At 36.6% G+C, this 17,550-nt stretch overlaps 1 protein-coding gene and 1 long non-coding RNA gene across 34 annotated transcripts in view; one reads left to right on the top strand and one right to left on the bottom strand.

Annotated features, from left to right (window-relative positions):
* The window catches only part of NLGN1 (neuroligin 1), an 898,421-nt gene that overhangs the window by 373,203 nt on the left and 507,668 nt on the right, over window positions 1–17,550 (bottom strand). The window lies entirely within an intron of this gene.
* NLGN1-AS1 (NLGN1 antisense RNA 1) lies at window positions 374–10,672 on the top strand. The gene is made up of 4 exons (NR_046664.1): window positions 374–644; window positions 6,181–6,280; window positions 8,553–8,624; window positions 10,301–10,672. It is a non-coding gene; the product is annotated as an NLGN1 antisense RNA 1 (long non-coding RNA).

The following is a 17,550-nucleotide window of genomic DNA, read 5'->3' as shown; positions in this document are numbered from 1 at the left end:
TATTACATATATATATTAAGGACCAAATTCGAGTGAAATCTATTGCTATGAACTTCCTGTAAATTCCAAATTGCTTTGGAGGATTTTTGAGGTTTAACTCATTTAAATCCCCAAAACATAAAGGCATCTTAAAAAGTAAGTTGGATAAGTAAGTCAACAAAAGATCTTGAAATTGAAACACATATGCTGAATTCCAATTCGTTGTTTATATTGTGTTCCTTGAATTTATGATTCAAAATTTGAAACTATAAGCTTCTCATTTTAAACATATGTATACATTTATCAGCCAGCTACAAGGTTCTAGAACAGTGATTTTCAAACATTCTCTCTCCCTTTCTCTCTCTCTCTCTGTTTCTATCTCTCTCTACCTAAACAAGCTAAGAACTGAAAAGTTCTGATTGACAGGTTGAAAGACCTGGAGCACTTAAGTCTTCTATTATTCACCAATCTTTTCTCCTTCAGCAGGTGGCTCCAATGTTTAAAACCTAGAGGTTGAACCAGGGGTTGTGAACCTTAAATAGAGTGTTATGAGCTACTGACTCTTAAACTTTGAGCTTCAGAGGAAGTTAACAGCAAGTCTGATGACTCATATGCATTCTCACATGCTTGAAGGTGGCTGAAGATGAAAATAGCCGAACTAGCAGGTTGGTAGGTGTTATGGTAGCATCTGTCCCTTCAACCAAGAACAATCTGCACCTGTGACATTTGAGTAAACTTTGTGCCAGACTGTGTCTTCTATTTTTCTTATATGATGTGATACAAGATATGGCCCAAATCTGAAGAAAACAAATTATATTATCATAGTTTTCATTATTTTATGAGCACAGTCAATGGCAATATAACGTTTACATTTGTGCTTTCTTTCTAACACACCTGCTTTAGGAGTCAATGAATCATTCAATCCAAAGGGCCACTTATTTGGTACTTCATATGCAGTAATCTAGTCTAGTAGTAGGCTAGAACACTTGATAACCATAAGAGATAATCCAAGCCTTTTTTATTTCTATCTCAAATAAGTGGCCTCAGAGTATCTGTATCTAGTCTGCCCTTTCAGCCTGAAGATCAACATTAGAATTTTCAGTTTCTCAAGATACTAGGTTTGCTCCTTTTTTCTCAATGTCTCTCTCAACCCTGCTCTGGGCAGTTTGCAATCTAAAGTCCTATGACTAAAATATTTTTTTAAAAAATAGCATCCCAGCATTCTCCTTTGATTAAATTAAGTACAAAGCTCTTCAGTATCCATGTTAATATTTTAAATATTGATTGCATATATGTTAAGATTTATAAAACTTTTAGAAAAATGTCTATTATTTATTAAGAAAGAAAAATGAGTCTTCTCTATAGCAAAACTGTGCATATTTAATAGCTATATATCTACTAGAACATTTTTTGTTTGCATGTTTTTCATTTTTAGTTCAACAGAAGATAAAAACATGAGTAAAATGTACAATTAGCCATTTAATATAATATAGAAATCCTTAAATATTTTATCCATATTTTAGGAATTCTTTTAAACTGTTCTAGCTAAGATACAATGAGTTATAGACAGAGCATGACCTAGTTAAGAGTGTGGATTTTGGAATTGGCCAGGCTTATTTCAAATTCTTAACTCTACCATTAGCTGGATGATTTTGGACAAATTTTTCTAGGAGTCCTGTTTCCTCTTCTGTGAAATGTGGCTAATGGAACCTTCCTAATAAAGTGAGTGTGGCTTAGACAATTTAATGAAATTGTGTAAATTATCTCACATGGATTCTGTCATATGGTAAAAACCCAAGAAAATTTTTTTCTGCTCTGTCCTCTTTGAAATATGCTTGTAAAGTAAAATATGAACAACAGTAAACTTGAATCTTTTCCTTAATATGTCCTTTATGTCCTCAAGGGGATAAACAGCTTTTTCCTTCATATTCTCTGTAGCAGATACAAAATGGCCTCCCAAAGATGTCTGAGTCTTAATCTCCAGAATCTTGAATATGTTACGTTACAAATACATTTGTCAGATTTTGCAGATATGATTAAGTTAAGGATCTTGAGATATAGAGATTATCCTGGATTATCCAAGTGGACTCAATATAATCACAGGAGTCCTTGTAAGAAAAGGAGAGAGGTAGGAGAGTGAGAATCAGGATAAAAGATGTGGTGACTGAAGCAAAATCAGAGACAGAAATTGAAATCTGAACATGCTGGACTGCTAGTTTATTCAAAACCAGCAGAGGAACTAGCCAAGGAATGCAGGTAGCCCCTAGAAGATAGAAAAGGCAAGAAAATAGATTCTCTACTAGAGCCACCAAATGTAATGCAATCCTGTAGACACACTGATTTTAGGACTATAAAATAATAAATTTATGTTGTTTTATAACACTAAATATGTGGTAATTTGTTACAACAGCAATGGGAAACTGATACACTCAATAAAGGCAATAAATGGACTAGAAGACGTTACCATTCTATGCAATATATATATATACACACACACACACACACACACACACACACACACACACACACATATGTATTTCTTTTTTTTTTTTTTTTTTTTGAGATGGAGTCTCACTGTCACCCAGGCTGGAGTGCAATGGTGTGGTTTCAGCTCACTGCAACCTCCACCTCCCAGGTTCAAGTGATTCTCCTGCCTCAGCCTCCCGAGTAGCTGGGACTACAGGCACACGCTGCCGCATGGCGCTAATCTTTGTATTTTTAGTAGATAGAGTTTCACTATGTTGGTCAGGTTGGTCTCAAACTCCTGACCTCGTGATCTGCCTGCCTCGGCCCCCCAAAGTGCTGGGATTACAGGTGTGAGCCACCGCGCCCGGCCCATTCTATGCATTTTAAAATTCCGGTGTTTGATACCTTTTGTAGATGTGTAGCAAGCTACAGAGAACTGTAATGATACTTAATAATAGTGAGGTCATTTCATGTTGCAACACTTAATGAAGCATTAAGTAAGCACAGTTAAGATTTCACATAAATACGTTTAAAGAACTACAAAGTTCAAGCTTTGGAAGATATTAATAAGTAACGAATGCATTACTTCTATTAATAAATAATAAGAACAAGTACTATAATTGACTGAATACTTAATATGTGCCAATATGATAACCATCTTACATACATTATCTTATTTAATTCATAAAACAGCCTTAGAGGTACGTGTTCTTACTGCAGTTTTACAGAAAAGGGACTGAATTTAAAAGTTTAACTTACAAATGGACAAACTGAAAGGAAGTGAAATGGTTTGAACCATAGCCTGTTGATTTAAAATCAAGCCATTCATCAACAATAAATCCAGATAAAGGCCAACACACACACACACACACACACACACACAATGTTGCTTTGTAAGAATTTCAGAGCGCCCTTCCTAAGTTCAGCTGATAATATTTCATCGTGTCATGGATATGAGAATTCTCAATCAGGTGGAGGCAGTTAGACATCGTGTCTGCTGATGGCTAATTTCTCCAGAATTTCTGCCTTACCTTTGGCTTAGACATCTTCCTGACTAGGGAGTAATTGATATAACTATCACTAGGGGACTAAGGACTAGCTATTCTAGGTCAGGGCTTAGAAAAATATAGAGGCAAAGAAGGATATGTTTACTTTTCTCTTGTTTTAGTAAAATCTACTTTTGTATTCAATCTAAGTTCTGGTTTTGCTATTTTCTTAAGAAAAGTATCAGTATCTGTATTAAAAATTTAGGCAAAATTAAACTCATATGTAATGAATATTGATTATGTTCCTGGTGTTATGCCAATCACTATCAAATATTTTATACATATTAATGTTCCCATTTTTACAAAAGAAGTAACTAAGACTTACAAGGTTTGTCTAAAATTATAGTCAATTTAGTTTCTTATGTGTCTGATTCCAATACCCGTGATAAAGTATCAATCCAGAGAAAGTATAAAGTAATCCAAGAGATTATTGTCTCTTTGTAATCTTCCTTTATTATAAAATCCATGAAATCCCTTCTCATACAGTGAAGCAAAATCAGATTCTGCAAATTAGATCTTTAATCTAAATTTGTCACTAATTTCCATTATATAGTTTATCAACTTGACTTTGGAATGCACTGATTCAGATTTTCTTGCTAGAAGTAGTTTTTAAGCAATGTGTGCCTTCTTCCCTTTCTATGTTATTCTCACTTGATTGAATAGTAGGCTGGAAACTAGCTTATTCAGCAATTGTAGTCTGAAGTTGGAAAACAAAACAAAACACCCACATTTACACAAAACAAGTCTGCTTTTCTACTTTCTGCTTCCTTCAACAGTTTGGTCCAATCACAGGAAACCATCCAGAAAATTTCAATTTGTTCTTACTTTTTAAAAATTTTACTAATTAAGGCATTTTAGATTTGCTCTCAGTATTCAGCAAGACTCAAGGAATCCTTAACTTCAGATTAGGGTATCTTTATGGATAAACTAGAACACGCATCCTATATTCCAGTCTGATCAAATTTAAGCACTTTTATAAAAAGGTGGCCTCATCTGAAATTTTCATGTTGTTTGTATAAGCCTCACTGGAATATGTATCTCTTTAGGTATTATAATAAATAAAAATAGCATTAGAAGAGTCATTCTACTGAAATTGCTATCTGGAAGGGCACCATATCTAATGGCTTTCATGTAGTCCTAATTATTATTATGACAACATTTACAAAGAACTTTTACCTGTATCTAAATTATTTGATATAAAATATTATAATTAGGCTATATTGCAATAATGTGCCTCTCCTATCTATTTCCTTAAGCTAGAGCTTATATTCTTGTTTCCAGTCCTTCCACTTAGGGTGATCAATAAATGAATGAGTGAATGAATGAGCAAAATATTTGTAGTATGCCATAGATAATGTTTTACCAATTGTGTTTTGGGCTCTGTACTCCATTAGAGGTCACTCATTAAACTCAGCAATAGTAGGGTAGCTGAAAGGCAACTGAACTTAAACTCCTCATTATTTGATGATCATCGTAAGATATCATAATCATACTAACTTTTACTATGTGCTACATGCTAACACTGTGCTAGTTTATATAACATGCTTATCTAATCTCATTCTCACAAGAAACCTAAGATATAGGGGATCAGTACCTATATTTCACAAATGTAAAAACTGAGGCTCAGAGGAGTAAAACATGCTCATGTTAACCCACTGCAGTAAAGGCAAGGCCTGTTTGGAGCGCCACATTAAAGTTCACGATCTAAACCCTGCTACTTTTCTCACACAATCCTGATTCAGCCTAAAATGCTACTATAATCTAAAAAAATAAAAATTAGAAAATAATAAGAAAGACTAGTATAGGCTTTGCATATGAGCATAAATATGAAAAAAAAGCTACATGGTCCTTGAAAATAAAAGAAGACAAAAATATAAGTACCATGGTTTTCTGGAAAGAAAAAGGCTATTCAATGTCTGAATAAGGGACTAGCCCATGACAAGAACGATTATAGAATGTGAGCCTCTAAAACTGTGGGTTCCCACGACTATTTCTAGCAAACTTACTTTAACTCACAACAGTATCCGTATAGATTACAGATAAAATCGGCGTTCTTCACGATATTATTTTGAATAGATTGTATCAGCAATAGTGAGAATGATTCTAGAAGTTACCTGGTTAGTTATAAGGCAAAGAATCCTTGATAAGGGATATGTTTTCCTTCTTGAATGCTCTTGGAAAATGCTGAAAAGCTTAATTGGATATTATTCAAGAGCAATACATTTTCTTCCTGCAGATATAGACTTCAGTCTACTGATCTGTCAAGAGTAAACAATGTTTTTAATGTAAATTTGTTTTGCCCTGACATCCTTGTAGACAGCTCCATTTGAAAATGAATTAATTAATTGTTTCTCATATGCAAAGGGGCTGGTTACTCATGAGATGTAGGTCATAAAATCTGAGTTTTTTCCAATAGGAAATCGATTTTCATCGATTTGTTCATGTGTTCTTACAAAATACCCCTTGAGACCAGAAGAATGCATTTAAAAACTGGCAGGCTGAGGTTAGAAGTACAATCCATAATCATGAAATAGAGTCAGCGTAGCTGGCCCCAAGATATCCACGCCTGTGATCTTGGTCCTGTTAATATGTTGCTCCAACCAGCTAATCTTAAGAGCCCAAGTCTAACTGAAGGTGTAAATGATTAAAAAGAAAACATTGTCATAATTAATGCTATTTGTAATTGCAGCAATTGTTTTAAAAACCGCAAGGATTATTCGCCGTTGAAAATAAAATCTTGTGCTCCATTCAAGTACAGGCACATCTTCTAAGGAACACCACCACACAAAGTATGACACTCTTTTAACTTAAAACAAAGTAAAACAAAAATCTTGTAACAGTTATTGATTTAGCAATCAGTGATGTTTAGAGCTGACCTAGTGTTAGTGTGAAGAGCCTATATCAGGAAACTCAAATCGTTACTCCGCTCAACCTGGTGATTTTGTCTTTATTGATTCATGTTGGTTTTAGTCTCTTCCTGTTTCAGTGTCCCTGTGCCTTGGGGCTTTCACTTTTACATAGTAACCCCATCCCCTGCCACCACACACATACTCTACGAATTCTCTACCTTGTACTTGGTCCCAGAGCTTGACGATGTAAGTCTTCATCAAATATATACATATGTGTGTGTGTGTGTGTGTGTATGTATAGATGTATGTGTATATATACACACATACATATATTCATTAAGGCTCATTATATATGTGTGTGTGTGTGTTTCTCCTCTATTTTCTCCTTTTCCTTTTGGCCATTCAAGTAGCCTCCATGCTTCACATGCTTCATTTTCTCCAGGGAAGTATAAGGCTGACCACAAACCAGGCAGAGCCTGTAAGTCTTGCTGGCTTTTGTGAAACAAAAGCCTAAACCCTTTGAAGAAGAGGCAAAGTGAATGTGAGAGGTTGTAGTGGGGCAGAGGCTTCCTTCAGATTCAATAATGATTTCTTTAAGGATGTGGGGGAGGGGATACTTCTGTCACTAAAACAACAATGGGAACTCAGCCACATGCTAGAGAATGGTGAGACCTCAAAGAGAGATGGCTGTTGGAGTACCTAGGGAGGCAGAACCACAGCCCAAATATATCAACTGTGTATTGTAAGGAAGCACAGAGCAACCAAATTTCAATTTCATGAGATCACTTTGACTTGCTAATGAAGATGCCAGTTGCGAGCACACTAGACTGGAGTTTAGATGTCATTTCCTTGTTTTGAGTATGCTATACAAGTTTCCTGCGGTGCAGTGTGATTTTGACTTGGGTAGGGAACCCTAATAATGACTAACAGAATTTCCATGAAGACCAACAAGATGGATTTTCAGTCTATATTTTCTATCTTTTTTAGTGTATGTTTTTCTGCTTTAAAACAGCAATACTCTTTAACAGAGACTGGTAAATTAAGAACACCTTATAGTTAGGAGCAGAGCAGTTGAGGTAAGAAGAGTGTAATAAAGAATCAAGCACTTTTCTTTGGCTGTTCCTGAGTTCTTCTGCTCGACATACTTTTTGCATGAAGTGAAATGTGGCCTGTCCTTGCCAGAGTAGATAATAGTACCTGGACACTAGCCAGTTTAGCTGGGATGTTGAGAGAGGAAAGCATGTCAGCATTCACTGAGAGACTTACCCAGCTGCCCCTGTCAATGCCTTGTTATCTGCCTTCTTCACTCGTTCCTGGGCTGTCAGCACTGAACATGGCCCTCAGTGAACTGCTCAACTGCCACTTAAAAAGACTCAGCTAGAAAATCCTTTGGCTCTTAGTTCCTGTGGCCATTAGTTCCAGGTTATAATGAACTTCTAATCCTATGGAAAAGACTTATAGCTGCTATTCCCACATGCCAGGGTATCAAACATCTAAATCTCAAATTTGAACACAAATGCATTCCAAAGGCGAACCACACCTTTTAATCAATCTTGCAAACTGCTCTCAACCTCCCACTTTTCTTCCACTTACTCTTTCTTTGGTGTGTAATTTAGAATCCTTCCACACATGGATTCTTTCTTATAAATGTTTTTCTGTTTTTTCCTTGAGGCAGTACTGGTCAGGGAATACCAAGAACATGCACAAAAGTGTTTGCAGAGCCATATTTAGTTAACTTTGCCTCTGCCTCCCATGGACTTGGGGTGAATGGGTATTCTTAAGTGGAAGAGAAAGAGGGATTTTAAATGCATTCTAGTCGCTGTTGTTGGTGGTGTGAGCCATTGAAGGCATTCCTCTCACCACTCCAACCTCTATACTGTTTTCTTTCCTTATATTTTTAATGGAAAGGACAGTGAAGTACCTTAAAGGAGGGATCAATATTAACACAGTAATCACTTGTAATCATACTTTCTATAGTATTTTCGTCTAGCCAGTTACAATCTTCAGACATGTGTATTTTATACAGTGATAGAATATTATAAAGTCCATAATTTTACTTGTGCTTTTTGTAATAGTATTATTTTTATTATATCATAAAATTTCTCCCATAGTCACGTTTTTTCATCAAAATTTTAAATGATTATTAGATCATGCTTAATTCTGTTGATACACCTCATTTATACAGTTTACTAACTCATTTTTCTAATTCTAGGAATGCGGATTGTTTTTCCAATGTTTTTAGAGATGATACTGCATTGAGAAACGCCACATACTGAGAGCTCTGGTAGATACATGGGGCATATACCAGACACTTAGCACATATGATTTATAAGGCCCCTGAACACTGTTCAGGGTGGATACTCTGAAGTCTGTTTTACAAATGAGAAAACTCGAAGCTCATAGAGGAAAAATACTTCCCCAAGGGCAGTCAGTGAGCGAGTGGCAGAACCAGGATTTGAAATTCATATCTGACTCCAAATCTCATTCTTTCTCCTCTATGTCATAGAACTATTTCTTTAGTGAGGTTTCCCCAAGATAAAATCCCGGGAGTGGAATTGTTGAATCAAAGAGTGTGACTATCTCCATGGCCCTTGTTACTTGCTCATCAATGAAAATAACAGTGAAAAGGAGACAAGAAGAATAAAGTGAATACTTATTGTCTACCTTTCTTAAAGATCTCATGCTCTCTTCGGATCAGAGGGGAACACTGTCAGGCTCTATGTTTTGCATTTGAAAAAATTATATGCAGGAGAATTTAGTTACTGGCTTATATTTCATACAACCAGATTTCTTGTGATCTTATGAAATATACTAGAAAAAGTTCTGTAAAAAATTTAGCACATTGTAAATACAACATTATTATTATCCTGAAAGATTTAAATTCTTGTTGTTTGCAACTCTATCGGCATAGATAGAATTCTTAGTAAACAGAGGGACACATATTTAATCTGTGAATAAATAAGGGGTCTTTGTGTAACAAAAATTAGAGGGATCCTTTTAGCCAGCATAAAAATAAACTTCGAGGAAACAAAGGGATGCTTTCATGGTTTGAGATACACTATTATTATTATGCCTTTTCAACAAGTATCAATGCTCTCTCTTCCTTTTCACTGCAAACAGTGGAACCTTTGCTGAACTGACAGTCAGTTAGAGCCAGTCAACAGAAACTGCTTTGGGTCACATGGCACCAAGAACTATTGTTGCCATCGCAACTGCACTATGATAAATTAGCCTGTCTCCACTAAGCATTTGGTTTGCCTACATGCCCCAGAAGGTGTCGTTTTGATATTCTCCTTGACAGTTTTGAGCTAATCTCTGATTCAACCTTTCATCAGGCTTGCTAACATTTACATATATTGAAGGAGAGAAAAAGGAAATTAATATTTTTGACTCATTAGACATGTGTGTCAGTGTTTCTGGATGATTACAATATTTAAGGAGTATTTTTGCATTCTCATAAAGTTTGATCATTGTTTTAGAAACCGTTCTATACAAGGTTAACGTAGATTTATTTCACCTCTTAGATACTTACATATTACTGTCACTTAATAATTGAGATAAACTACTAAATTTAGCAAAGCTAGAGAAAAGAATATTAGCTATAAAAAGCACTGGCGCTTGTAACAGCTTAAACAATTATTTTTCAAAAATTAGTACATTTTTATTGTTTGGGGGATTGCTTTCTTAATAAATTCTCTTTGGATATTATAACAGTTTGTTTTCTTTCTGCAAGTACAGTGAGTTTAGGAGATTTTTCACAAATTTAGTCTCTTATACCTACATTTAGTAATATTCATAAATATTTGTGTGTGAAATGCAATAAAACATTGTGATTTCAGGCAAGGTACACGAAAATGTAATGAATAATTAATAATTAGCAGCTATTTAAAGTGTCTTCAGTTCCCAAAGCATTTCAAATAATTTGTTTTCCTTTTTACTTTCCGATACCCTCTGATATAGTTATCATACCCATTTTATGGATGACGAAGAACACTTGGAGAAGATAAGAAAATGGCCACAGTTACAATGAGATCAAAACAGCTCAATCTTAAAATCAAGTCTCTCACTCCAAATGGAGATTTTTATGCTACATTATTACCAAAATAATTTTGTTTCTCTTTTCCTCAAGGAAGCACACATTTGCTGTGAGCATTATATATTACTTATTAAAATTTAGTGATTTTAGAATCGTAAGAACTTTAGTAGAATATAGTTGAAAAATCTGCATACCTTGTATAGATCTAAATCAAAGGATACTAGAAAATACAAGCTATATAAAGGGATTACTTAATTATTCCTATTTTATCCTGTGTGAAATTAGAAAAGAAGAAAGAGAGAATCACTGTAAAGCAAAATAAAATGGTAGCAAAACTTCAAATTTCAGGCTTAGAATGATCATATGTATTACTGGAATGGGCAATGAACACTGATATCCAGTCTGTTGTAGGAAAAGTTTCATTTTTTTCCTGTCCTTGTCCTTCAAGGTTAAGCTTACTTCCCAAGCTATTCAACAGATACTACAGAGATAAACAACACAAGCAGCAGCATCAAAAGGCTTGTTATAATTGCAGAATCTGAAGCCCCATCCCAGTTCTGATGAAGCAGAATCTGCATTTTTAGCAGGATCCCAGGTGATTTGTGTGCACATTAGTATTGAGAAGCACTGCATCCTCTGAAACTTCTACCAACGATCAGGAAGGAGAAGAAAGAAACTGAGCATGAACAACCCAGTAGTGTCAAGTGCCTGGAATAAAGTCTGAGGAGAGTTTAGGGTTTAATATTAGAGACTCTTGGGTTAGCAAATCTCTCCCCCATTGACCTAACATGCCTTCACTATAAGAAATGTTGTGGAGGCTGGGTGTGATGGCTCACGCCTGTAATGCCAGCACTTTGGGAGGCCAAGTAGGGTGGAACACCTAAGGTCAGGAGTTTGAGACCAGCCTGACCAACGTGGAGAAACCCCGTCTCTACTGAAAATACAAAATTAGCTGGGCGTGGTGGCACATGCCCGTATTCCCAGCTACTCAGGAGGCTGAGGCAGGAGAATTACTTGAACCTGGGAGGTGGAGGTTGCGGTAGCCGAGATCATGCCATTGCACTCCAGCCTGGGCAACAAGAGCAAGACTCCATCTCAAAAAATACATAAGTAAATGAATAAATAAATAAATAAATAAATGCTGTGGGGAGGGTGGTTGCAATGAAGCTTCCCTTGAGAAGTCCATACTTAAATGTAACCACTGAAAGGTGAGAAAATAATATAATCTACCAGCAACCATTAGCTTCTCCAGGCAAGCTGATTGCTCAATAGTGGAAATTGAACAAGTGAGTCTTCATTTCAAATTGTAAGGTCTAGGACACCAGGGACTGTGACTGTGCCTGGCATAGGATACACACAAATCCCTATTTGAATTAAACTTTTTTCAGGGAAAGCCCCAAAGGATGAGATGCTTCTGTTTGGGAAAGTCCTATGATAAAGAATGATCTGCAGTGTAGGTCCCCGGGGAAAATTTATCATAAAAAAGATGGCTAAGCCCAGGGTTAAATTGAAGTTCAGGTTGCTTTTCTCTTCTAGGTGCCAAATGCCATTGTCTGGGCTTTTTTTTTATCTTAACTGAACCTCCCCCGAAACCAAATCTTACTTTCCTTGCATCGTTCTGCAAGGACTTCCTGACTTAGTGACTAGCTAATAGAATACAATTCATACTAGTTATTTCCTTAAAATGAATAATGTTAATCTTGGGAGACAATGTTCTAATACAAATGTTTGCCAGTAATGGAAAAATGATCCATTTTTCCACCTCACTGGTAGAGAGGGATACTTTGTGATAGGGAAAGACTAATGATTCTTAAGACACTGGGTTTAAGCTACTTGAGTCTGGCCAGTTGATGTTATTACATTTCAATCTTTAGATAAATTAATAAAGCTAAAAACATCTTTAGCCTGCCAATAGTCCCCATTAAAAATGTTTTTATAGACATCAAAATTATGTTAACAGAATTCAAAATGAAAGAAAAATAACGCAATGCCATCATCTCAACAAGCCAAATTATTTTTATTTTTCTCTATTTCCTTCTAGTTGTTTATAAGCAGTGTCTATTTTTTAATGTAATTTCCACAATTACATCAGTATTAATTGCCCCTGAGTTTGCCAGCCCCACTAGAGTTATAGATGTTGCTACACGTAGGCTGTACCATGCCTGATTTCATAGTCAGCTCTGCACTAGACAGACTTTAAAACTAGGTGCTGTTATATTAGTGAGTGTGGGGTGATGGGGATAGAAATTACTATATTGCACATTCAAGATTTTGGCTGTTTAAAATTTTAAATATAATAAACAACTCTGAGCTTCTCTCATGCAGCTTTTTCCCAATTTCCAGTTTTATAAAGATATCTTACCACAAGTGAGATTGTGAGGTTTGAAAATGCAAACATTTTTGTGTGGCTATTTAAAGATATTATAAAAATTACTTTCAAAAAGCATCCTTTGTTTTACTCCATCACTAAGAATTTGAGGCAGAGGTGGAAGGTTGGTATTGGTAAGTTGCAAAAACTCCCCAGGTGGTTCTAATGCACCATTCTGGGCTAAGAACCACTAGATACGTGTGATGTTTTTACTGCAATCAAACTAGCCTAGGTATTACCATTTAAATACATATTTTTTCCAGTTTATTTGGTATAAATGGTCCCTTATTTGTGCCTTATTTTTAGAGTTTTAACTAACATGCAGTAATCAATATTTTTATAAAAGTTGTCCTGTTTTCTCTTTGAGCTCTACAGTAGATTGAAAGGTAAAAGAGATAAAGCAATCTGCTGGGCGTGGTGGCTCACGCCTGTAATGCCAGCACTTTGGGAGGCCGAGGCATGTGGATCACCTGAGGTCAGGAGTTCGAGACCAGCCTGGCCAACATGGTGAAACCCCGTCTCTACTAAGAATACAAAAATTAGCCGGGGGTGGTGGCTCACACCTGTAATCCCAGCACTTTGGGAGTCTGAGGCGGGTGGATCACCTGAGGTCAGGAGTTCGAGACCAGCCTGGCCAACATGGTGAAACCCCGTCTCTACTAAGAATACAAAAATTAGCCGGGGGTGGTGAAGCATGCCTGTAATCCCAGCTACTCAGGAGGCTGAGGCAGGAGAATCGCTTGAACCTGGGAGGCAGAGGTTTCAGTGAGCTGAGATCATGTCATTGCACTACAGACTGGGCGACAGAGCAACACTCCAACTCAAAAAAAAAAAAAAAAAAAAGAGAGAGAGAGATAAAGCCATCTAAGATACGCCTTCTCCTGGATCCTCATTTCTTTATAGTCCCTAACAACTCTCTACATGTGATAAGAAGAGAGAAGAGGACTCAGCTCTACTACAGAAATGTAGGGAAATAGGGAAGTAGAGTGCTTGTTCTTAACTCTGAAAAAATTCTCTGTAGAATCCTGGACTCTTGGAAATACAACAAATGAAGTATTCTCCACTAACTGGACATAGCTATAGGTAGGTATTTTAAGTGATGCCTCACGGTAAGAGGAAATCAACTTGACATAACATTTTGATATGAATAACAAGGAGTTGCTGAGGAAAATATCCTTACACTTAAATATTCTTTCCAAAAGAAATGTGAGAAGTGCTGGTGGTGGCGTTTCTTTATAACGAAGCAGAGCTTTAGGCTTCCTGAGTTTTGACTCTTTCCTGCCTTCTAAGCTTGACCAGCAACAATAAGATGTGGATATTTCATGTCACCAATTATACTTCTTTAAGTTTTAAAATGACTACCAGGCCTGGGAGATTGGGAAGATCTTCAACTGTTTCTTGCAGGAAAATGCCCAAACCCATAGAAGAAGATACTTTACCATTTATTTTGTAAGTATTTGAGGCTTACAAAGACCTTTTCAAGCATTTATTAATTAAAGAGAGCCTCAGTAACGTGGACTTCCCTTTCTTTTTTTTTTTTTTTTTTTGTTTTTGTTTGTTTGTTTAAAGATGAGGTCTCACTATGTTAGCCATGCTGGAGTGCAGTAGCTAATCATAGGCACGATCATAGCACACTGCAGCCTGGAACTCAGGCTCAAGTGATCCTCCTGTGTCAGCCTCTTGAGTAGCTGGAATTACGGGTGCACCTACTATGCCTGGCTAACATTTTTAATATTTAATTTAAAAAAGGACACAGAAGGGAAAGAAATATAGTGTTATAGAAAAAGTAGATTTGAAATAGCCCAAAGAATCACCCACTGTTTTGCCTCCATCGTGGGAAAGGCGAAAAATATAGTAATAATTTTATCACAAATTTGTTTACAAAAATGTGATGGGTTGATTAGATAGACGGCAGCACAGTGCTACTCTGGAATTTTTCAGGGCAGGGGTGATATCTCTTTTATATCCTTAGAGACTATCCCAAAGTAGGTACACAATAAAGGCCATAAGGCATTGAGTTTTATCAACTATTAATATAAATTATCAATTAGTTTATCAGAATCTTACTAAGATCCAAAGTAGAAGAGATCAGATTTCAGTAGAGTAAGATATACATACAGCAAGTCAGTGGGACAGGGAGGAGAAAGGATGGAAAAAATGCTAATAAAAAAGAGCAATACGATCCAGTGCAAAGGGCACACAGGCTTAGGCCCCAGATAAAGTTGGATTCAAATTCTGACTGTGGCACTAACTTAGCTGCATGATGTTAAACACAATACTTAAACTCTCTACAGTTTCCTAATCTATAAAACAATCTACAGTAACTACAGTGAATAAATAGTGGTTCTCTTTCCCCTTGAAATTAAAGAGAATTTATTGGTTAAGTTGCCTTTGTTTCCTCAACTAGAAAACAATAGTATTAAAATCCATCGCCCTTGTGTCTGTTCTTGGTCCAAGAGTTCTTTAATTCTACATTCTGTTTATGCAGTAGACCTCAATCTCCTAGTATACTACAGGAATACATCCCCCGTGATTAAATTTCAGGGACTACCTACAAGCTGATGAAATAGATTTTTATTTCTGTTAGATAAGAGTTGTCAGAACCCCACAAATCCTACCATTCAGTGACAGACATTTTGCTTCAAGGAAAGGCTATGTCCTGAGACTTCTTTTGCAGTTATAGAGGCAAACCTGCTAGGGAAAGTGCTGCTGGATCCATGTCTTCTGTTATTTTTACCAAACATTTCTGTGCTTGCTTGAAATGCCCCAAGTGATGTATTTCTTATCACATCCATTGTCCCTGGCAGGTCTCTGAATATAACTCACAGCCAGATCCAACAGGCCAGTGTATGCTCAAGGGAGGGCCACATGAGAGGTCTCTCTTCTCTCTTAAAGATTTAGGATGGTGCTAGACCAGGAAAAGGAAATGTCAGGAATGCATGCCATTATTCCCTTCCCTTGTCTGTGGAATACATGATGGACCAGAGCTCTTTCTCAGTGAACCAGCATGAAGCCTTGAAATCTTTCTTAACGTATTGCTTTAAGTGGACAGTACAAATTGGGGTTGGAAGCTAATATGGACCCTTTGGCTCTCCTCACTCTAGAGTCTTTTTAACAATTCAGCTGAAGTTGCAAATTTAAAGTGTGTAAAACAAGAATAAACAAATAACAAGAGTTTGCAGTGCCATTCATCTGTAAAAACTAACAGAAGTTGGAATCTGTGGGACTAGACCTCTGGCAGGTCCAAGGCCCTACCCTGCTATGGCGATAGTCCACATGGGAAAGAGAACTCAGGCAAACAGACAGGGAAATAGTGAAATTGTTACCAGTTCTTTGCATCAGGCGGGTAGCCAGAATTTTGTCAGGAGGAGCCACGGAGGTTTAAAACCCATGAAACTAGAAAAAGGAGCTTTTCCAAAATTTTGATAAGATTCTCACCTCAAGAAGAGGACAGAAGCAGCAATATAAGGCTCTTTATGGGCCTGGATAGCCAGGGCAGGTTGGCCCTCTCCCTTGGAACACTGCAATATCATCAGTCTTGTATAATCAGCGTGTGCTATTGTAAGCTTTTCCTTTACCTGCCTGAAAATAACTTGTTCTTGTTCTGTATCTGTTGGCATTTTCTGTCAAATCTTATCACCACCGCTTTGTTGACCAGCAAGCAGAATCATAAATGCAAACATATCTTTGTATGGTCAGAGCTGGTCTAAGGCATTCCCTCTTAGAAACAGAAGTGACCCAGAAAAGAATATGAGTGTCTCTTCCCCTGAAATTCTGAAGACATTAGGATGGATATTTCTCTCAAGATATTATTCCATATCCTCCTCCAGCTGCCATACCGAAATGGGAACATTCAATAGGCCTATTTATCACATATTTGTGGTTATGCACTTGAAACTAAATGAAAAAAAAAAAACCCTTTATCTTCACATATAAGCAAAAGTATACTCCATTTAGGAGAAAAAAAAGGAAGAAAAATTAAGCAAAATAGAAAGAGGTGAAAGTTAAGAAGAGAGAAGCCAGGACAAAGAGATTCTAACCCCTTGATCCTAGAGATATCTTCCTATGTTGTTTGTCTTTCCAGAGCTAGCACAATGCCTTAAATGTAACTAGCCCAAGAGTAATTTTTTGCTAAACTGAAATTGGAAAGGAGAAAGGAGAGATAAAAGGAGAGATTAAAAAATGAGAAAGGGAGATATTTACATCATACCTCTTTTATTTTAAAAAGCCCATGCAATAATGAAACAAAAGGAACCCAAAAGAATTTATATGCAAACCAAAAGCCATTGATAGTTTGACTTTTCAAATAATAAAATAAATTGACAGCCCACAGTCGTGTAAGTTGAATCTATTACAAAGTTCTTAAAAGTTTAAATTGTACTGTAATATAAAAGTCCTTCAAAAATTTCTTAGAAAAGTAAACCTCTACTTCAACAGTAAACTTTGTAGCTGCTTGGAAATGGAAAAAAAAAAGAAGAGCCTTCTGAGTCTGTGCTGGGGAAAAAAGACTACAAGTATTTTAAAGCCAACTTCTAGAGGGCACATCAGGATTTGAAAGGATGTAATAAAAGATCTCCTTACAGCTCCCTGAAATATATGACAGTATTTCAAGGAATTTGGCTGAGACTGACACCAACTCTCATTTGAGACTTTAAAATAGAAGACTAACTGTCCCAGCTTTCAGCAATCGCTTCATTGTTTCAGGAGGCCCTCCATAGCTCCTTGCCCGCAGGTATACCTTCCTACCCTCTCTTCTATATTCTGTACCTTGAGCACAGCTACCTTGATATGTAGGCCTGGCCTCAC

The sequence above is a fragment of the Homo sapiens genome, chromosome 3, assembly GCF_000001405.40.
Source record: "Homo sapiens chromosome 3, GRCh38.p14 Primary Assembly".
Lineage (NCBI taxonomy): Eukaryota > Metazoa > Chordata > Mammalia > Primates > Hominidae > Homo > Homo sapiens.
This window is presented reverse-complemented; position numbering and strand designations above follow the sequence as displayed.